Source organism: Homo sapiens, chromosome 6 (assembly GCF_000001405.40).
Source record: "Homo sapiens chromosome 6, GRCh38.p14 Primary Assembly".
Classification (NCBI taxonomy): Eukaryota; Metazoa; Chordata; class Mammalia; order Primates; family Hominidae; genus Homo; species Homo sapiens.
In genome coordinates this window covers 122,473,791-122,496,800 of record NC_000006.12, presented here as the reverse complement: position 1 = coordinate 122,496,800, position 23,010 = coordinate 122,473,791, and the positions used below count along the sequence as shown (strand labels likewise).

Below are 23,010 nucleotides of genomic sequence, written 5' to 3'. Positions count from 1 at the left end.
ATATATTTTTCAGGTTTACTTTGTATCCTTATCTTTTAGGAATGCCAATAATTTATAGACTTGGTCACTTTAAGTAATCTCATATTTCTTGGAGACTTTGCTCATTTTTTGAATTTTTAAAAATTTTTGTCTGACTGGATTAGTTTAAAAGAATAGTTTTCAAGCTCTAAAATCCTCTCTTCTCTTTGGTTTAGTCTACTGATAAAACTTTCAATTGTATTTTAGAATTTCTTAAGCAATTTTTAATTCCAGGAGCTCTGATTGATTTCTTTTTAGAAGATTTATCTTTTCCTTAGTTTCCTGGATTACTTTAGAAGTGTATTTGTATTGATTTTAAATCTTGTGTTGGATTTCATCAAGTTTCCTTGACATCTATGCTTTGAATTCTTTAACTGTCATTTCTGAGCTTCCATTTTGGTTAGAGACCATTTCTGAAAAGAATGATCCTTTGGTGGTGTTGCAACATTCATATTTTTCATGGTGCCAGAATTCTTATACTAGTTCTTTCAAATCTGGAGATAAATGTGTTGGTTAGGGTCTTTTGGCTTTACTTCTATAGCCCTTTGCACTTCTGTCACTTCAGATTTTATACTATGCCATGTGGTTTGACCTACAGGCCAGTAGACAGCACTTGCAGGTAAGAGCACTGTAGCACAAGCAGGTAGTTGTGTACCTGATCTTTCTTTACCATGAGGTGCTTTCTGTTGTCTTGGGTGAAGGACTGGACAGTGAAGTACCTGGTGCCCTGAGCTTTTCATGGGGGTTGGGGGACACAGCTGGGTTGAGCTGGAGCCCCAAGCTTGCCTATGAATACAGAGATGGCAAGTGTAAACACCAGCTCTGACAAGAGTGACTAGGAGGATCATCTGGGGAAATGAGTCTCCATGTGGGGGAGAGGCTGCAGCAGCTGGACCACTCTGGACCACAATATGGTTGAAAGCCATGGGAAACACCTGTTTCACCACTCTCTGTGGAAGTGGTTTCAGGGTATAATCTTGTCACCCAACCGGATACATATAGCTTCCTGGCTCTCCTGTTCTCCAATGTGAGAGTACTTCCGCTTCTTATAAAGGGGTGGCTCCACATTTGGACTCATGCAAGTGAGTTGTGTGGTGGTATTGGCTGATTTGGTCAGCTTGACCTCAGACACTGGGGGAATCGGCCAGATGCCAGCTGAGTTGGAATGGGGTAGGTAGTTTCCCCAGTTCCGAGGCCCCAGGTGGCCCACTAGATAGCATATATGACTCCTGAAGGGCCAGGACTAGGGTTGGGCTAGCCCAGAAGTCAAGTGCTGGCTGTGATGGGGAGGGGTGGCCTGGTCCCCAGATCACCAACCAAACTCTCAGGCAGGGGCAGATGGAACACTTAAGTGGTAGAGGATCTGAGGGGATATTACAGGCCTGTGGGGGTTGGGCTTTCAGAAGGGCTCTGGACCACAGGTGAAATGTTCAGGTGGGGGCAGGGCAGCTGTGCTATGGGCCTTCCACCGAGGAAGGCAGGACCCCCTCAGCTGCAGCAGTAAAGACTGTAGGGCATGTGATACACTTGCACTTCCCTCCCACCCAAGAGGGTGGACTTTGCTATTGGTGGCATGCAGAGGTGCTAAACCTTGTCTATTACCTCTGAGAGTTTTGGCTCAGAAGAATGAGGAGCTGTCACCAACCAAAATGTTTGGATTGGGGGCAGGGCCACTGTGCTGGGAGCCCAAGCTGTAGATCCTGCCTGGCAGGAAATAGCAGGGCAGTCTGGCCACTCCTCAGCACTGTGGCTGCATCCTCTAGCAGGGCTATAACTGTTGACACCAAGGGTCCAAGTCCTCTGGGGCTTCACATGGGCTTAAACAGTGCCTGTGCAAAGACTCCAGGTGGCTCTCTGTATTGGCCTGGAGGAGTGAAGGTGTCAGGGAGGTTCTCCCATGCCCAGGATTGCAAGGTTCACGGAGGAAGTGTGGATCCTCTGGGGACACTCATTCCCTCATCATTTCTCCACATTAGGAGGCTTCCGCTGGCTCCACACCAGTTCTGAGTAGGAGGCTGCCTGGCTTCACTTCTGTTTGTTCTTTTTGGTTCCTGTCGCTTCTTTGGTGAATCCAGAAACGATCCCTTTGATGACCCACTTGAAGAGCAAGTGTTTACTCTCTACCCTGTTTCTCTGTGTGAGAGTGCTAAGTCTGCCATCTTCAAGATTTACTTAAAGGCAATTTTTTTTCCCATTATTTTTCACCACCTGTTCTGGAACCACAAAATTAGTAAAACTTGCTGATCATCTTCCAGTATTTCCCAAGGGGGTATTTTTGGCATTTTGTTGAGACAATTCTCTTTAGTATAAAACTGTCTCATGTTTTAAACCCTTGTGCCATAGCACTCTTCAGTTACTGTGACAACAAAAACAGCCCTACATACTTCTGAACACCTGCCAGGAAGAAGTTCCATATTGTACCATTGGCCCAATGCCTACTGTTTTAGAAAAGGGTAAATAGAAGTCCAGAAAAGTTAGATGGCTCAATTAAGGTCTCAGAGCTAGCAACTTCCAAACTAGCAAGCAGATTTTTCTTACTATTCCAAAGATTAAATGAAAGTTTTTTAATGCCATAGCATTCCTTTCAAGTTTTCTGAACTTTTGGTGTTTGGATTTAATTTGAATTAATCAAGCATGTTCTCAAATAAGAAAGTTCAAGGTCTGTGTGGAATTAACTTGGCCGTATATAAAGTGGGATTTAGTAATTGATTTTAAATTACTAATAGGTTTTTCAAAATTTTTATTTGATATTAACATGGGCATATATGTCTCATGACTCTTAAGGACAACTTAATAAAATAGTTAAATATTTAAAGCAAGCAATAAAGCAAGCAGAGAGGATGGGAGAAGATCCCGTTTCTTTCCAGAAGAGCCACAGTAGATAAATGACTGCAAGAACAGGATTAGTGGGAACAATGTGGTCCCTGGCTGTGGTCCAGAATTCAATATAACTAGAGTGAAGGTACAGAGAGGAAGACCAAGGTTAAGTCGGCAAAGACTGGACTAGCTAGACCACCCCTCATGTAAAGATAATTAAAGAAATTTCAGGCCTAGGAATTTTGCATACTACCAAAGCAGAAAATATTTTAGAAAACTCCTTGGAGTTCACAGGGTCATGGAAGAAAACAAAATAGACTCTCAGACAAGAGGTACTACTTATGAGGCACTACCTATATCAAAGTTATAGAACAATAAACATTTATATGCTGAAAAGCACAGCTTCAGATATGCATAATAAAATAAAATCTGTTAGAAACATGAAGAAATTGAGGAAAATCACACAATTTTTCATAGAAGATTTCAATACATCATATATGTTTGGGCTGTTATAACAACATATCATAAATTGTGTATCTTATAAACAACAGAAATTTAATTCTCACATTTCTGAAGGCTAAGAAGTCAAGGTGCCAGCAGATTCAGTGTCTGATAAGGACTCACTTTCTGGTTCACAGATGGTGTCTTCTAGCTGTGTCCTCACATGGTGAAAGGGACGAAGGAGCTCTCTGGAGCCAATTTATAAGAGCACTGATCTCATTCACTTCCCAAAGGTCCTAACTCCTAACACAGTAACATTGGTGATTAAGTTTCAACATGTAGATTTGCAGGGGGGACACAGATATTCAGACCATAGCATCATGCTTTGACAGTTCAAAGGGATTTCTTTTTAAAAATTCGGAAAATATTGGAAAGTCTAAAATTAACCTAATTAATGAAGTTGAGTTTAGATAGACAATAGATAACTTGTAATAGAAAATATATCCTTTTCAATAATTCATGAAAGAGAAATTAATTATCTACTGGGACACAAAACCTTATGCCAGAGTAGAAGTAATAAAAGTCATATCTTCTGACTAAAATGTAATAAAACTGTAATTTAATGACAATGGCTTAAACAAAAAGGCTTGCCTTTGTGGAAAATGGAAAACATGTCTTAAATAATTATTGGGTTAAAAGGAAACCAAAGCTTCCAGTAAAGAATATTGAGAAAATTAAAAAAAAAAAAACTCTTTCTCTTAAAATATATATAAGATATGATAAAGCTATACTGGGGCAAACTCATAACCTCTTATGCTTAAATTACTTTACAGAAAAATATAAAAAGAACAAATGCTTCAATAAAATAAAACATAAAATGTTAGAGTTATAAAAATAATAAGTCAAACTAGAAACTGAGAGGAAAATGTAGTTTGATCACTAAAAGCAAAAACTGGTTCTTTGGGGAAAAATTTTCTTTGAAAGAATGTCTCTTAAGTCCATTACTCTGGTCTAGGAATTAGTGGAAAAGCAATATAAATATATATCTGGAAACATTACTGAGGCTATCGCTGGTCCCATATTGTTCCCTGAGTGCTTAATGTTATCAGTGATAAAGAGCCCGAAGTAACCATAGGTCGTAGATCTAAAAGGCACACGTTCCCTAAGAAGCTCATGACTTCCCTATAACCTGAATTCTACTTGCTTTTCCTCTGCTCAGTTTTTGTCCCATGAACACTACCCACGAACAACCAGAGATTCTCTCAATATGCTTACAATCAATTTTTCTTAAGCCATAACTCCTCCTTCTGTGTTTAGCATGAATACATAAATGTATTTCTCTCTCTAAAATCAGTATCCTTTCAACTGACATGTTCTCATACCTCTCCCTCACTGTTCTGGTGGCCCTCTGCTGCCCCCTCTTGGTTCTAGGCTACCCTCTCAAGCGCTGAGATGTGTGGCTTAAGCCTCTGAATAAAACCTCCAAGTGTTTTTGAAATATCTGCGTAACTAATCCACAGTTGGTGAGTCTTAGCTTTTAGTAATGTAGTGGAATTACAAAGGGCTTTCAGTACTCATAATTCTAACATATAACTAAAGAAAATTTGCTGACTGTAAAAACAACATATTTATTTTTACCGAGTAGCTTTAGAAATTCAGCTCAAATCTTTCTAGATTAACCTTAGTTTTCTAGATAAAAACAAGGTACAGAAATAATGAATGTTCCCAATAATGCAGTGATTCTTGATATTTTTGAGTCATAAATGGCTATGAAATCAGATCAAAACTATAACTCAGAGGAGTGTGTATTCAAAGGCTATGCACCAGGACACTGAAATGTGCTTCCACAACCTATTTTCAAGAAATGACTTGTTGCACCAGTAGTGAGGAGTGCTATCTGCAGACATCTTTCAGCTGTTCACTTCTTCAGGAAGACTTGGTTTGCCCAAGGCCACACGTCCCTTCTAGAGGCCTACGTTAATGACTAATTTTTACAGTAGGTAGCTAGCCAGGCATGAGCGGGGGAGGAGAGGGCTCCCCCAACTCCAACAGGAATGTCAGGTGACCATCAGGTGATGGTCAGGCAGTTGTCACACTGCCTCTCTAAAATAATAATAGATGATTCCCAAAAAGATCTCAGGAATTGGGTGAGTGAGCTCAAGCATGCACATTAAGAGGCAAAATGGTGGAGTTTAACTGGTATATGACCTTCCAGAAGCATTCCACTGGTAAAGAGAAGAATGCCTCAAGTGAGCATGCGTATAACTCCAGTAACACACTGTGCATGAGAACAGGCAGCTCCAAGTGCAGAATAAAGAGATAAGGGATGCAAGACCATGGAAGTATGTCAAGATATAAAACCCCAAGTCAAAAGGTCAAACCCCACACTTGTCCTTCAAGTGGCCTGCTTGGGCCTCTTCCTAGTGTACTTTTCTTCCCGCTGTAAAGCTTTTTAATAAACTTTCACTCCTGCTCTAAAACTTGTCTCAGTCTCTTCTTCTCCTTTATGCCCCTCAAATTTTTTCTTCTGAGGAGGCAGGAACTGAGGTTGCTGGAGACCAGTATAGATTCACTGCCACTAACATAATCACTGATGGGTGATCTTAGCCCCATTCAGGCAACTCTAAAGGGTCATTCTAGTTCTAGAGCTTCCCTATGGATTCAGCTGAGGCTAAAGCTGGGCTGTATCACAGCACAACTTCTTCCTCTGCCTACTTGTATTAGGCAATTTTTGCTAGCTATAAAGAAATAGCTGAGACTGAGGAATTTATAAATAAAAGAGGTTGAATTGGCTTATGGTTCTGCAGGCTGTACACGAAACATAGTGCTGTCATCTTCTGCTGAGGCACTCAGGAAGCTTACACTCATGGTGGAAGACAAAGGGTAGCCAATATGCCACATGATGAGAATGAGAGCAAGAAAGAGAGAAGGGAGAGGTCCCAGATTCAAAACAACCAGATCTCTGTGTGAACTGAAAGGAAACTCACTCATCACCGAGAGGATGGTGCTAAACCACTCATGAGGGACCTTTCTCCATGATCCAATCACCTCCCGCCAGTCCCCACCTCCAACATTTGGAATCATATTTCAACATAAGATTTGGAAGAGGTAAACATCCAAACCATAATACTACTACTGTTTTCTTTCCCTCCCTGCCAGTTGTATTGATCTCTTTGGTAAGGGCACACTTTAATAAACATCCTCACGCTAAACTTCATCTCAGAGCCTCCTTCCTGAAGAAGCCAACATGTGACAACTACAAACATAACTATATAAAGCAGCACCTTTTCTTTCTCCTGGAAATTATTCAAAAGCTACAAGAAGATGCTTTTATAAGTTTGAAAAACATTTTTGGAGGACTTAGACACAATTTGAATGACTCTATAAATCAGCATTTTCCCTTTTTCTTGGAAATTATTCAAAAGCTACAAGAAGAAGCTTTCATAAGTTTGCAAACTATTTTTGAAGAACTTGGATGCATATTTAACTCCCAGACTCCATTTTATATCAAACACTATCAAAAGCACATGACATTTTTTTGTATACACAGAAAGGGCAGTGAAAACAAGAATCCCTGGTGATAAATCTCAAGAGCAGGGATCCACTGAAAAATAGATCTCAAAAAGCACTTGCAAAATATACTTCCTGAAAGTGTGGGTATACTGTGAAGCCAAAAAGTAATATTCCTTTTTTGTGACCGTTAGTACAAAGACTGAATGGATTGAGTTGTCATGTCTTTCTTCTTAAGAAGGCCTGGGGCTATAAAAAGAATTATACAGAAAAATCATATTTATAAGAAGTAACATGACTCTGTAACAGGAAAGGAGAAAGCTTTTGCTCTATGAAAATTACTTAGCCAGAAACTTTATCTTTCCTTCATATCCCAAAAGAAACCTCTTACAAATGGCCAGTCCAGGAAAGCCTAACTCATTCAATGATAAGTAGTATTTTAAAAGGAGAGAATCCATTTTTAAATTACTGTTTTGGCCAGGCTCATGCCTGTAATCACAGCACTTTGGGAGGCTGAGGCAGCTGAATCACTTGAGGTGAGGAGTTCAAGACCAGCCTTGCCAGCATGGCAAAACCCCATTTCTATTAAAAATACAAAAATTAGCTGGGTGTGGTGGCAGGTGCCTGTAATCCCAGCTACTCAGGAGGCTGAGGCAGGAGAATAAATTGAACCTGGGAGGCAGAGGTTGAAGTGAGCTGAGACTGTACCACTGCACTCCAGCCTGGGCAACAAAGCAAGACTTTTCTCAAAAATAATAATAATAACAATAATAATAATAATAATAATAATAAATGAAATACTATTTTTAAAAGTCTCTTATTTTTCCCCCTTCTTTAAAAAAATCTATTAATTCTTTTTACTTCCTGTCCTTTGAGGCAGCTAACACAAGTAGAAACTTTAGGACCAAGGAAACTATTGGGGCTATTGAGGTGGGCAGGGCCTAGAAGGCAACTTTCTGGGTCAGGAGTTTGATTATATACAGGAGGAAAAAGCAAATAAGTGAATAAATTGAGAATAATGAGAACCAAGTTTCTCACTATTGGATAAATGAGTTACAAATATGAAAAGCCAATGGCCAGAATGATCCCTGTGGTATTATGTTTCAATTGGAATTATCACTGGGAACACACAATTTCTTAGATAGACAGAGATAGACAGATAGATACAGAAGTAGATACAAATGTTTGTGTATGTGAGTGACAGACATTTTCTACCTCTGCCTGGTGGGAAAGCCTAGAAGCAATTAATCCCAGGAGCAGTGAGCAGACGTAGTGCTCCAATGTTGGTTTCTAAGTATCATTCTTCTCTAACGTAGAACAAGAGCTCCTTGGAGAAATGAAAGAATAATATAAACTGGTTTGAGAACAGCCTGGGCAACATGGCAAAACCCCATTTCTACAAAAAAAAAATACAAAAATTAGTTGGCCATAATGGTGTGCCTGTTGTCCCAACTACTCTGGAATCTGAGGCAGGAGAATCACCCGAGTCCAGGGAGGGAGTGGCTGCAGTGAACCATGATGGTACCACTGTACTCCAGCCTGGGCAACACAGTGAGACCCTGGAAGATCTTGTGCCAGAAAAGAAGAGCTCAAACAAAAGAATATGAAGGGAAAAAGTAAAAGACAGTATTCAGCTTCTAGGTGGGGGGTTTCCCCGTTTGCCAAATACGTAGCAAATAGAGCAACAAGATAAATAATTATAACAATAGACTATAAACTCATTAAATAAACAGAAATCTATAAGGAGATGTGTGTGTTTGTGTGTGTACATACATGCGTGTGTGTGTGTATATATATGAATATATATATATGAAAGAAAAAGCTATTACTTCCAGCCAAATGCAAGTTAAATGTAGAAAGAATGATGAAATGAGAAAATTACAATTTGGTAGCCATAATAAGAACATATTGAGATAAGAACCTTGGATGGATGCTGAAATGAATGGGTAAATAATTACTGAGGAACAACATATTTACAGTCTAAAAACATATCCCTCCAAAATACTTACTAAAGAGAGAAACAGAAACTTTACAATTGAGAAACCTGGAAGATATCACTTTAAACGAGTGATAAATGTGTTATCATCAGTAATGGGACAAATCAGCACCATATGTTTACTGATGCAGTATTAATACAATGAGAAGAACACAGCATCGCTTCTCTCATATCCCTGTCCTGAATGCCTAAGCTGTGACTTAGTTCATTCAGGCTGCTATAACTAAAAACCTTAAATTGGGTAGCGTATAAACAACAGAAATTTGTTTCTCACATTTCTGGAGGTTGGGAAGTCTATGATCAAAGTGTTAATAGATTTGGTGTCTGGTGAGAGTCTGCTTCCAGTCAAGACTAAAGGGTCATCCAGAGCTTCCCCATGGAGTCAGCTGATGCTACAGTTGGGCCTGTCTCAAAACACAACAAAACAGCACCTTCTTGCTGTGTCTTCACATGGTAGAAGCGCTAGTTAGCTCTCTGGAGTCTCTTTTATAAGAGCATAAATCCCAATCATGAAGGCTGTCCCCTAACAACCTCATCACCTCCCAAAAGGCCCCACCTTCTAATACCATCACACTGGTGATTAGGTTTCAATGTATGAATTTTGGGGGGTGAACACAAACATGAATATTCAGAACATAACAAGCTGAATCTAATCACAAAGAAATATCAGATGAATCTAAACATAAGAGGTATGATACAATTTAACTAACTTTCATTCTTCAAAAAAATAACAAGGTCATGAAAGAAAAGACTGAATATGGGTTCTGGATTGTCAGATAATCAAGAGACATGACAACTAAATGCAACACATAATCCTCTATTGGACCCTGGACCAGATAAACTATTTATTTATTTTTTTGTTATAAAATATATCACTGGGACAATTGGCAAAATGTGAATATGTTCAATGTAGAAAGAAGCATTTTACCTATTAATTTTCTGATTTTGGTACATTGTGGTTATGCAGTAAAATGCTTTTACATTTGAAGAAATAAATATTTATGTAGTTACATGAAATACAGCATCATGTCTACAACTTATTTTTAATTGATTCAGAAAATAGTAGTTAGATAGATAGATAGACAGACAGCAAGTGTGGCAAAAGGTTAACATTTGGGGAATTGGGATAAAGGGTAGATGGAATTCTTCATAGTATTATAACTTTTCTGCAAATCTAGAGTTATTTCAACTAAGATGTTTTAAAACACAGTACTTTTAAAAAGCAAAAGTAAAATTACATGAAAAATGTCATGGTGCAGATTCAAACTGTGATCAAATACTCTGCCATAAAATTAAAAATGTATTAATAAAATTCACTCTAACTAGAATACCATAAAGCAGAAATGTTAGAACTTGAGGAAGAAATGGTAAGACAATAAAAGGAGATACACATTAGTAGAAAAACTAGAAAGAAACAAGAGATAAAGAAAAAAAATCATACACACAAAAAACTAATATGAGAAATGAAATTAGAAGGAACATAATGGAAGTTAGATACTATTGGAACATAGAGGATGAAACTTATAAATGAAAATGTATAACAGAAATAAACTTAAAATGCATTAAACATGAAATAATAAATATAGAAGACGAGGGTGGATCAAGCAACTATGGTTGGAATCCTCAAAAAAGAAACCAAAACAAGAGAACAAATAATTGCATAATATTTTTAAATGCCATACTTATTATTCTGAAAGAAAGATAACAATAATTGAATTGCGACTGGTTTAGGGGGAATAAAATGACTGGAGGACTTTTTATCATCTGAAACAACCAGAAATGATGAAACTGGACTCAAGACTTTTTCAATTTCTGCAGAAAGAAGCTGGCTCACAAGTTTAATAGGGACAGTGATGGATTTAAAAGAAAAAAAGTTTATTTTTAAGTTTGGCTATTCAATTTATCAGCTACATTTGTTTTTATTTTTATTTTAGAGTCAGGGGGGTAATGTGGAGGTTACATGGGTATATTTTGTGATGAATTAGCCACATTTGTGTATGTGTCTATGAATATGTTATTTCTAGAAAGAAACAATCAACTGGCACCAGAAATTTCTCCTAAGAAAAGACATATGTTGTAAATTTGGGACAAAAAAATAGAAGAGAGACAATTTTTGGTGACAATTACTTCCATGCAAAAAGACAAAAGGCAAGACATACAGCAATAATCCAAAAGTTACAGTGAATCCAACCATGCTACCAAAGCACAGTCACTGCTAATTCATGATAAAGACTTCAACAGATGCAACATTCAATACTCAGGCACTCGACTGCTAATGATTTCTGCCACCATCCTTCCGCTTTAACACTGCCTTTGATGGCTCTGCTATTAAACTAGCCATCCTTACTAGATTCTACTCTTCTAGTTTTGAATTGGAAATGTGTTAACCACTCTCCTTTGTTATTAAACGTGATTTTTGTTTACCACGTGTGCTTCCCTTAGATCCTGATTTCTGTATTCCAGTAACACACGACTGATGCTATCCTGAAGCCTAATTATTCCAGAAAATTTAATGTTGTTTTTACCACTGACATATCTTTTACCTAAAGAATGATGCCACTTTGATACATTAGTTTGTTCTAATATTTTAACCTAAACCTTCAAAATTAATACTTTATAGATGACTAGCTCTTCTATTTTCAGTGAGATTCTAATTCTCCTTTGGGAAATAATTTCAATGTATAAATACTTAGGCCTCTTATTTATATCTCATGTAATAGATTAATTCAGTTTTTCCATTTTGTCTCATTTTATTCTCAGTAAAAATACAGACCACCTAGCTACCACATTCCAGGAAAAAAAAAAAAAGAATATTTTTGTTGAAAGAAAAACTTCAGCTGAATTAAATTTAAAGGAGTTTAATTGAGCAAGGCACGATTCACAAATCAGGCAGCCCCCAGAATCACAGCATATTCAGAGACTCTAGAGCAGCCACATGGTGGCAGATTTATAGGCCAAAAAAAGGGAAGTGAAGTACAGAAATTGGAAGTGAGGTACAGAAACAACTAGATTGATTACAGCTCAGCATTTGCCTTATTTGAACACAGTTTGAACACGAGGCAGTGTAAGAGTGGTTGAACTTCTGCTGCTAGGATTGGCCAAAACTCATCTATTGTTTCTGGCGCATACTCCTAAGTTAGGTTTTCAATCTTGTCTACCTATCAAGTCAGGCTGCAGCTCATCCACAAGGACTCAAATATAGAAGTACGGAGTCCTTCTCAGACCATATTTAGTTTGCTTTAACATTTTAATAGTGTTTTCCTAAATGATGATCCACGGGATGTGATATGTTGTTTTGTTTCAGGGTTTGAGATCATACACATTTAAGAAACATTGGATTAAACAATATTAAATAATTTTATTTATGGCAGTATTTGTCAAAGTCTTAAAAAAGTAATGTGTGCTGTGAATTTCTGATAAGGAAAATAGCAAACCTACTGAAAATGATCCCTTCACTTTGGGACTGCCCCTTTTTATTTCAAGATTCTTCTTTTTATAAGAATAAATAATTCCTCTTACTATAACAGTTCTTCACAGAATACATCTTCCAAAAATTAAGTCATATTTATTCCTTGCAATTGTCCTTGTTCCAAGAGTTGACGAAAATGATTCTCAGTTAAGATGTAAAGTGGCCTCTGATTTCTAAGGCAAAATCCCACTTTTCAAAACAAGTACATAAACCAAGCATACGAAATTATTTTATACAATTTGGTTGGTGTTCATGTAATTTTCTTCACATTAGCTTTTAGATATTTGATAAAGGTGTTTTTGACCTTAGAATAGTATTTAAAAGTATATGAATATATTTACTGCAAGAGTGGTTTTTTTTTTCTTTTTTCCTTTTTTTTTCTTTATTTACTTCAAGAGTGTTGTGCGGAAAATATGGAAGGCACAACCAAATTCATTAATTCATTCAATTGTTTACCAAGCCCCTTCTCCATGTCAAGCACTAGGTTAGGTGATGGCAGTAAAACTCTACAAATTAATCTGGCCTCTGCCCTCAAAGACCTTCACGTACAGATGTATTCTATCCTAGCTATGGTAGGGTGGCAGAATATGCCACAGCAAACTTTTCCACTTTGGCACAAGGATTACTTTGTGCTGAAGGCAATTGAGAAGAAAAAGATACAAGAAAAGCTCTCTGTTCTTCTGTCATCTAAAAGCAGGACATAAATTTACAAAGTTGTCCCCCGCTTTCTACAAGGAAGGACAAAACTTAATTACCAGAGACAGCTTTAGACCCTTACAGCCTGCAGACAGAATCAGAGGACTGTATATAACAAACTTTGCAAACTAGCCTTTATTTACCTAGTTTCCCATATATTTGCCTTCGCACAATCTGCCACTCCTAGAGACTCTTGTCATTTTTCTAAAAATTGTTTCTTTGCTGAAATCCTATATAAGTCCAAGTTCTAACCAAACCTTTGAGTTACTCATCTCTGGGTATATGTTACATGCACAATGCATATGTTAATAAACTTTTGTGTTTTTTTCCCCTTATTTTTCTGCCTTTTGTCAATTTAATTTAGAGGACTCTAACCAGAAAACCTAGGAGTGTATTAGGAAATAATTTTTCATCTTCTATATGCATACACAAAATTTGTCTGAGGCATTATGATATGTGGCAGATAATTGTAAAAATTATTTCTGTTTTCAGTAGCATTCATTCTAATGTATTCAGGGGATGTTTCAACTTGTAATAAAGGATTATTACTCTCCCATAATCAAAAATTGATATAAATTAATGTATTTATAGTTGTTTAAATTACTTCCATCAAATTTTCATCAAATGTTCTTTATGCTGTATACTGAAACTTTTTGTCTGGTTTAAATTTAAAAATGAGGAAGCTACAGAAGAAAAAGAGATAACTTACTAAAAATGTAATACTTCGACAAATAATTCTTTTAAAAAAATAGTCTCCACGTTCTGGTTTATTAAGATAATTTTAAATAAATTTATATGATTAAGACAAGCAGGCTGGTTGAGTCCCTATTTTAAGATGGTCTAAAGGAAACGATAAAGCCCCTCACTCAAACACTAGCTTATTTAACTTTCAGCCAATCAGTGACAAGAGACCCAAGAAACTTAACAGCAAGCTCCTATTTCAGCGGGGTAGGGATTTCCCCAGAGCCTTGCACGTGCAGTTGGACTTTAAATCCAACCTAAAGTGGCCGGGCACAGTGGCTCACACCTGTAATCCCAGCACGCTGGGAGAGCAAGGAAGACAGATCACGAAGTCAGGAGTTCGAGAACAGCCTGACCAACTTGGTGAAACCCCGTCTCTAATAAAAATACAAAAATTAGCCGGGTGTGGTGGCGCATGCCTATAATCCCAGCTACTCAGGAGGATGAGGCAGGAGAATCACTTGAACCCGGGAGGCGGAGGCTGCAGTGAGCTGAGATCGCACCACTGCACTCCAGCCTGGGTGACAGAGCAAGACTCCATCTGCAAAAAAAAAAAAAAAAAAAAAAATCCAACCTAAAGTTATCTCTTCCTCATTTTAATGCTAAAATTCACACACAAGGGTGGAGATTTTAAATGCTAATGCTACATGTAATGTATGGAGAAGCATGTTGAGCTACTGTGCAAGCACTAGAAAAAGCTGTCCTATATATGCCCTAATATAACCTTTCCCTATGAAAAGAGCCTATTAAATTAACCCACACACTACCCTCAGGGAACAGCCAACTCCTTTTTCCTTTCTCAGTGCTAGCTCCCTTGAGCACAAGCTGGAATAAAATTAAACTTACCTTTGCTGCCGGGGCGCGGTGGCTCACGCCTGTAATCCCAGCACTTTGGGAGGCCGAGGCGGGCGGATCACGAGGTCAGGAGATCAAGACCATCCTGGCTAACACGGTGAAACCCCGTCTCTACCAAAAATACAAAAAATTAGCCAGGCGAGGTGGCGGGCGCCTGTAGTCCCAGCTACTCGCGAGGCTGAGGCAGGAGAATGGCGTGAACCCCAGAGGGGCGGAGCCTGCAGTGAGCCGAGATCGCGCCACTGCATTCCAGCCTGGGCTACCGCGAGACTCCGCCTCAAAAAAAAAAAACAAAACTTACCTTTGCTGCTGTGTTCTGTGATGTCTCTTGATTTCAATATTGCGAGATTACAAAAACCCTGGGTGTTGATAACATAATTAGCATATTTTTGACACAGTTAACTACAGGTAAAATAGGAAGCCAAAGCAATATTTAAAAAAAATTTGAACTAATTTCTGACTTCAGAAAAGTTGCAAACACTGTACAAAATTTACTATATATCTTTCACCTCTATTCACCAAATATTAAAATTTTATCTTGTTTACTTTACACAATGTGTGTGTATGTACACACACAAACACACACACACATACATACTGTTTTGTAAACCGTTTGAGAATAAATTTCCAACATGATCCTTTTTACTCCCATATACTACAATGTACATTTTCAAAAATATAATACTTTTCTACATAACCACATTATAACAATCAAAAACAGAAAATCAGTTTTGATATGATACTGCTTTGTAATTCACAAGCCCCATTCAAATTTTGCTAATTGTCTCAATAATGTTCTTTACAGCAGTAACAGTAATTATTTATTAGTATTGTTATTTCTGCTCCAGTATCTAATCCATGATTACATGTGGCATTTAGTTGTCAAGTCTCTGGTTTCCTTTAATCTGGGCAGTTTCTTAGTCCTTTTCTTTCATGACCTAGACATTTTGAAAAGTACAGGCCATTTATGTTGCATAATGTCCCTTAATTTGGGTTTGTCTGATATTTCTTCATGATTTATTCCCGTTTATATGTTTTTGGCAAAAATGCCTCAGGAGTGATAGTGCTCACTCCTTAGTGCATTACATCAGAAGACACATGAAACCTATTTGTTCTATTACTGGTGATGTTAAAACTTTGATCTTTTGGATAAGGTGTCTGTCAGGTTTTCCACTGAAAAGCTTTCTTTTTAATTTTTTGTGGGCTTTTCTATACACTTATATAATCATGGGCTTGATTTGATGCAAGGAGCTTGACTAAGTGATGTCTTAAGATTTACTCAATTTAACTTCATTTTATGATATTTCTACATTAAGTTTTTTAAAAAGAACAAAAGATTATTTTTGTATCTCTGATTTTGTGGTATGTACAATATCACTTTATAATCAACACATATGCATGTCTATGATTAGTAATGATGTGGATTTTAGTTATCAGTGTGAAAATGAAAGCACACCTACTAAGCTTTAGAGAGTAACCTTTAAATTTAACAGAAAAGTATTTGTACAGTAAGAAACGGAGATGAACACCACAACCCACTAAAAATTGTTTGAAAAAAAATTCTTAGAAATATAAGGCAGGCATAGCCATCAAACAGATCAAAGGGAAGAGATAGAAATGGAGTAAATACTGTAGGCATATAAATAGAACATGACATTTTTCCAGGATCACTATTACTACATTTTCAAAAAATTTATTCCCTTTGGATTAAGTAAATAACTTGAATAGAAAAAGTACCTGAAGCATTATTTAAATAAATTGTAGTTGTTCTTTATCATTACTAACATTAAAATATTACATATGTATGCATCGATTACTCAAACATGCATAAAATCAGAATTGAAAATCAAAATAGTGCATTCGTTATTGGATATACTAAGTGTAGGTTAGCAATTTTATTAAAAAATTTGACTATAGGCCGGGCATGGTGGCTCAAGCCTGTAATCCCAGCACTTTGGGAGGCCGAGGCGGGTGTATCATGAGGTCAGGAGATCAAGACCATCCCAGCTAACACGGTGAAACCCCGTCTCTACTAAAAATACAAAAAACTAGCCGGGCGTGGTGGCGGGCGCCTGTAGTCCCAGCTACTCAGGAGGCTGAGGCAGGAGAATGACATGAACTTGTGAGGCGGAGCTTGCAGTGAGCCAAGATTGCACCACTGTACTCCAGCCTGGGTGACAGAGCGAGACTCCCTCTCAAGAAAAAAAAAAAAAAATTGACTATGGTTGCCACTACAAATCAAATAGAACTAACCTCACTTATTTCTACAAATATACTCATTGTTTTCTTTAATCTTTTTTTAACTTTCTATTATTTTTTCTATATACCTTTAAGCTCTGTTGGACCTTTTCACTGTTTATTCATGCCATGGGAAGCTCTTACAGTCAATACCGGCACTGGCATTGTAGACAGTGAAAAGCCAGAAACAGTATATGCTTTGAGAGAATGTGTCAAGTCTATCTATATACAAAAGAACTTAAAACTTTTGAGATTGCTACTAGAATATTCACGGCAATTTTGAGTGTCTCTGATGTTGGGTTTGGGGAGTGCCTGATATATAACTGCTCGCCAAAGGAAAATCTTTAAATAAAGCAGAGGGCAAAGAGAGATCACAGTCTAGTCAATGTGTCAACTTAATCTTAGCATTATATTAACAGCTAGGAAAGAGGGCAAAGAAAATAATGAGACTTCTGATGTCTAAGCACCCATGAGTAAATGCATTGTACTCTCATTTCTGTTTTGTGATATTTATCAAAACTATAGAACTGATCTGACTAAAAAGAAAATTTTGAGTTCTAATTGACAGAATTAAAACACATAGTCATAATACTACATGTTGTTTCCTAGGCCACTCAATTAGGATAAGGAACTTTTTTCCCCTTTGTTGATTCTTAGTGCCTCAAAACTCTATAAAGTATGAAGTACCTTTCTCAGGGCAGGATTAAGATATTAAGTTGCTTATTACTGCTTTAATGTGTCTGGGACAGAGCTTCTGAGAGTCTGCCTAGAGAAAGCAAGAAGCCCTGGAAAGGCTCTTAAAAATATTCTTGCAATTAGTCAAGATGGCCCAATAGGAACAGCTCTCTGCAGCATTCAGCAAGTTCAATGTAGAAGGTGGGTGATTTCTCCATTTCCAACTGAGGTACCCAGCTCATCTCATCGGGACTGATTAGACAGTGGGTGCAGCCACGAAGGGCAAGCAGAAGCAGGGTGGGGCATCACCTCACCCGGGAAGTGCAAGGGGTCGAGGAACTCCCTCTGGTAGCCAAGGGAAGCCGTGAGGGACTGTGCCATGAAGAATGGTGCATTCTAGCCCAGATACTATGCTTTTCCCACGGTCTTCACAACCCACTGACCAGGAGATTCCCTCCAGTGCCTACGCCACCAGGGCCCTGGGTTTCAAGCACAAAACTGGGTGGCTGTTTGGGCAGACACTGAGCTGGCTGCAGGAGTTTTTTTTGTTTTTTGTTTTCTTTCTCCAGATTTTAAGCATGTCTCTAAAACACTTTCTCCTATTGGCATTTAATCCATGGTTGTATTCATATAAATATCCAATGGGAAAAGTTCACTATTTTGGACTCCATTTGTATGTGAAAGCTACTTCTTAAAGGATATTTCCCCACCCCCCGCTGCCACATAATATGTTAAGTGACTCTAATTATGTTTTTTCTCTTACTAAAGACTACCATTTGGAATTGCTGAACAATGTGCAGTGTCCAGCCATGCCCGTATCAAAGCATACCATAGAACTGAACTATGGAGTACCCTCCCATGGCATCTAAACTGCTGGATGAGTATTGCTGGGAAGTGGAAATGTGCATAGCATTTGTATAAATGATGCTGGGAATGCTTTCTCCATGGCGGAGAAAATAGGTAGAGAGAATTCTGCTGTCAGCTCTACAACCACTGAGATGATTTTTAAAACTGGATGATTCCTAGAAAGACTGGATTCTGCCACAAAATACAAGTAAGTCAGGCCAGCTAAGGCAGAAAATTTCCTTCAGGAGATGTCGATTAAAAAAATGGCCTGTGGTTGGCTCATAAGCTTCATCTGACATTACATCTTTAAAAAGATAGGACTTTTCTGGAGGAAAGGGACAGACCCATAAGCAATAATGGAAACTAGTGGAAGCCAGCCTTCACTATAACAGGACTCTAGGTGGGAGCCTGCGAAAAATAATAGAACAAATGACACAGCCAGATGCTACCAAACAGCTAAGCCTAGGATTTCTGCAGGTGATGCAAAGCGGGTTACGGGATATGAAGACCTTAATACTAGAAAATATTAGGAAGCTTTATGGAGAAATTAAGACCTTACCAGTGACTTATCAGGTTGGTCCTGAAGGGGTGTCCATACTTTCTTGTCATCACTTTTGAAGTTAAAGCAAATCTTCAACAGGGTAAAAACTGTGAGGAAAAAGTACCCAAAGTTCTTAATCACTCAGTAGAAAGAGCTTTAGGTATGAATTTGCCAAAGTGTTTTACGCAATAATGGACAATACAGTCAGTGGAGTGAGGTGTAGAGAATTGGGTAAGAAGAAAAAATCACTGTCTGAAGTCGCTTGAGATCAGGCCACTTAAAATGTCAGGGCCTCTGGATATCATTCTATTCTTACAATTAATTCTGGAGGAAAGAAAGCAGCTAAGGCCATAGAAATTCAGGTGAATAAAAAAGAAATCAGGATAAATTGGCTAAAATAACATAATGGAATATATGGATTACTGGAAAATAAAGTCAAATCTGGCAAATTTCATATAGTATCATATAGTATAGTACTTTGATAGCCTAAATGATTATCAGAATATAACATTTATCCTTCTTACAAATCTCTCATATCTGATTTTTATATAAGAAATCAATTTAGGTTCAATACCTAAAGCAAATGCACAGGCTTAAAACCACTTTATCTGAAATATCTAAATAACTTATACAAAGAAAAATATGATTGCTTCCTTGTTTAGCTTGTATCACCTGGATAATTGCCTCGACTTTCTCCTTCAGCTTACAGACCTGCATTGTCCAATATAGGGACTACTGGACATTTGAAATATGCTGGTCCAAATGGAGATGTGCTCTTAATTATATAACACAACCAGATTCTGAAGACTTATATGAAAAATAATGTAAAACATTCTATTAAGAATTTTTATATTAATGTCATTGAAATATTTTGGATATAGAGTTCAATTAAATGCATCTTTAAAATTAATTTCATCCGTTTCTTTTAATACATCTACAAAAAATTTTAAATTACAAATGTGATTCACATTTCATTTCTATTGGAAGGTGCTGATTTAGACGTTGCCTTAATAACATGTTTAATAAGAATTCAAAAATCTGATGAGTGCCAAATCGAACTAGTTGATTCCTTTCTGTAGCACAAATAAATAACGTTTTGGGTGAATGAATGTGAAGAATTTCTTCAGTATATAATTTCATTATTTTATCAAGGTCAATACATCTGCCCTTGAAAAGTGAAATGTTTTAGAAATGTCATTTACACTTTTTCAAGAAGTCACTCCCTTCTCAATGATTATAAAATAGTACATTAAATATTAGACACATATTTGAATTTGCTATCCACTTTATTATTTACACAGTGAATATTTCCTTTTTTCCTGAATTTATGTATGTTCTGCCTGAAATAAACTTATTTTTGTAGACATCTATTTCACTGGTATAAACATATCTGCTTGTTATGGAATTATAGGCTTAGATTTCAGCAAAATAAGAAAATCTGTGTGGAAAGAATATTGTTCATTTGCTGTTTTAACATTAAGACCATAATTGAAGAGAGTTTTTGTACATTTGACACTGTATCTTAGTTTTGAATTATTTTCCAAAACTATCAATGTGTGTCTTAACAGATAAAAGCATGTCTTTAATCAGAATATGGTCTCTTCCAATTCTAAGTTTATACTGACCCCTATGGGTTACTGTGTCCTAATCTATTTTTGGCTTATCCTTTCAGAATATCTGTGAAATACTTAAACATGTTTACATTTAAGATATAACTAATTTAGGATAAAAGCCATAAAATACTTTTTATATTTTTGCTCTCCTTGGATTATATAACAAACTATGCACAAATTTTATTCATCCTTTAACTACTGTGGGGGGGCCAAGATGTTTCAGTCCTCATTATATTTAGTGTTGATGTACTAAGGACAAGAGAACTAAGCAGTATAATTTCTAATTTCCAGAAAAATATGACCTGATTATTTTCCTTAAAATCTGTTCCACTCTCACAATATTTCAGAGATATAGATCATTTATTAGGATAAAAAATAAAGTTTATACAGAGATTTGTGTAAAGGCAGGAAGGATTATGGGACCAAAGATGAGTCTAATTTTAGTCAACCTTGATGGAGACACACTGATTCTAGGTTACACTGGGAATTTTTAATGTGATATACATGATTCTAAACCATATCCTTATGGATTGATTATTTATTTTTACTTGTTTTTTTTGAGACAGAGTCTCACTCTGTCACCCAGGCTGGAGTGCAGTGGCGTGATCTCAGCTCACTGCAACCTCTGCCTCCCAGGTTCGAGCAATTCTCCTGCCTCGGCCTCTTGAGTAGCTGGGACTACAGACGCATGCCACCACACCGAGCTAATTTTTGTATTTTTAGTAGAGACAGGGTTTCACCATGTTGGCCAGGCTGCTCTCAAACTCCTGACCTCAGGTGATCCACCCACCTTAGGCTCCCAAAGTGCTGGGATTACAGGCGTGAGCCACCACACCCGGCCTATTTTTACTTTTATAGAGATGAAGTCTCACTATGTTGCCTAGGTTGGTCTCTAACTCCTGTGATCAAGCTATCCTCCTGCCTCAGTCTCTGGAGTGTTGGAAATAAGATGTGAGTCACTGCACCCAGCATAACCTTATGGATTTCAACAGGAATTACAAGAGGTGGCGAAGGGTTATTGACATTTATTTTCCTTTATGCTGAAGATGTGGTTTCTGAAAATAAAATTATTATTTTTAGTATTCTCTCAAAAATTCAATGGGCCAGGCGTTTTGGTACACGCCTGTAATCCCAGCTCCTCAGGAGGCTGAGGTTGCAGTGAGCTGAGATCAGGCCACTGCACTCCAGGCAGCGGTTGCAGGAGAATCGCTGGAATTTGGGAGGTGGAGGTTGCAGTGAGCCGAGATCAGGCCACTGAACTCCAGCCTGGGCAATAGAGCAAGCCTACGTCTCAAAACAATAACAAGAACAACAACAAACCAAAATGACTGATAACTGACAAATCTATATTTGAGAGTGACTTACATAAACCTAAATTTTGTACCTAAATCATTCTGAAATTACATTGGTTAATATTGATTTTTGTGAATCCATTATTGAAATTTTTACTATGGCTAGGATAAGCTTCGTAATCCTGCTTTACATTTTTCTCAGGGTACAATAGTCACAACTATAGTTTATCTGGGAGAATTCATTTACCTATATGTAAGAATGAACCTGGACTATCTTCTAAGGAAAACCTTAAGCCTGTCTATAGTACTCCACAGATCTCCCAGCCCATTTCTGTGCATGTCTATTCTGACAAGTATTTTGGTCTTTCTCCTGAATTTCCCTAAGAGACTATTAATTTTACATACCATTTATTTGAATGTTAAAGTCTATGTCTTGTCCTTAATTGACAACACAGAGCATTCATGCTCTGATTCTTGACAACAAACATAACCTTCAGCTCTCTGATGCCACATATGGATCAAAAGTTTAATTATGAGAAAAGATATTCTAGGAGGGCTGCCAGAAGGCTATGAAGTCCATCCTTCCCTCCATCAGTATTTCTTAAACTATATTTCATGGAACACTTACAGTGCATATTAATACATTTCATAAGAAAAAAAGATTTTTTAAGGTCAAGTTTAGAAAACATTAGGAGTGAAGGAATTGAACATGCTAATATGCAACATCAGTCACAAGAGAAGAATGTAACAGGCAGTACCATCCAAGCTTATCTGAAAACTTCTTCCAGCATGGCTACTTAGTAACATTCTCAAAAAAATCAATATTCCAATTTTTTTGTTTTTTGGCATACTAGCCCTTAATCAAGTCAGAGAACTGAGTTATTAGATAGCATGGCTTTTTTGTTTGTTTGTTTGTTTTGAGACAGAGTTTTGCTCTTATCACCTAGGCCGGAGTGCAGTGGCACGATCCCAGCTCACTGCAACCTCTGCCTCCTGGGTTCAAGCAATTCTCCAGCCTCAGCCTCCTGAGTAGCTGGGATTACAGAGGTGTGCCACCATGCCCTGCTAATTTTTGTATTTTTAGTAGAGACAGGTTTTCGCCATGTTGGCCAGGCTGGTCTGGAACTCCTGACCTCAGGTGATCTGCCCGCCTCAGCCACCTAAAGTGCTAAGATAATGGGTGTGAGCCACCATGCTCAGCTAGATAGAATGTTTTTTACTAACGTACTTACTTAGACTAATTTGAATTTTGGCATTGTAAG

The 23,010-nt window shown here is 37.5% G+C and overlaps 1 protein-coding gene across 4 annotated transcripts in view; it reads right to left on the bottom strand.

Annotated features, from left to right (window-relative positions):
• The window catches only part of PKIB (cAMP-dependent protein kinase inhibitor beta), a 254,453-nt gene that overhangs the window by 229,573 nt on the left and 1,870 nt on the right, over positions 1-23,010 (bottom strand). For 3 of the 4 annotated variants that reach the window (XM_047419002.1, NM_001270394.2, NM_181794.3), the window contains exon 2: positions 18,862-18,950. The gene's annotated coding sequence lies outside the window, so the exon portion shown is untranslated. Of the gene's footprint in view, positions 1-14,534; positions 14,655-18,861; positions 18,951-23,010 lie in introns of all 4 variants that reach the window. The other variant, NM_001270393.2, reaches the window with a different exon arrangement.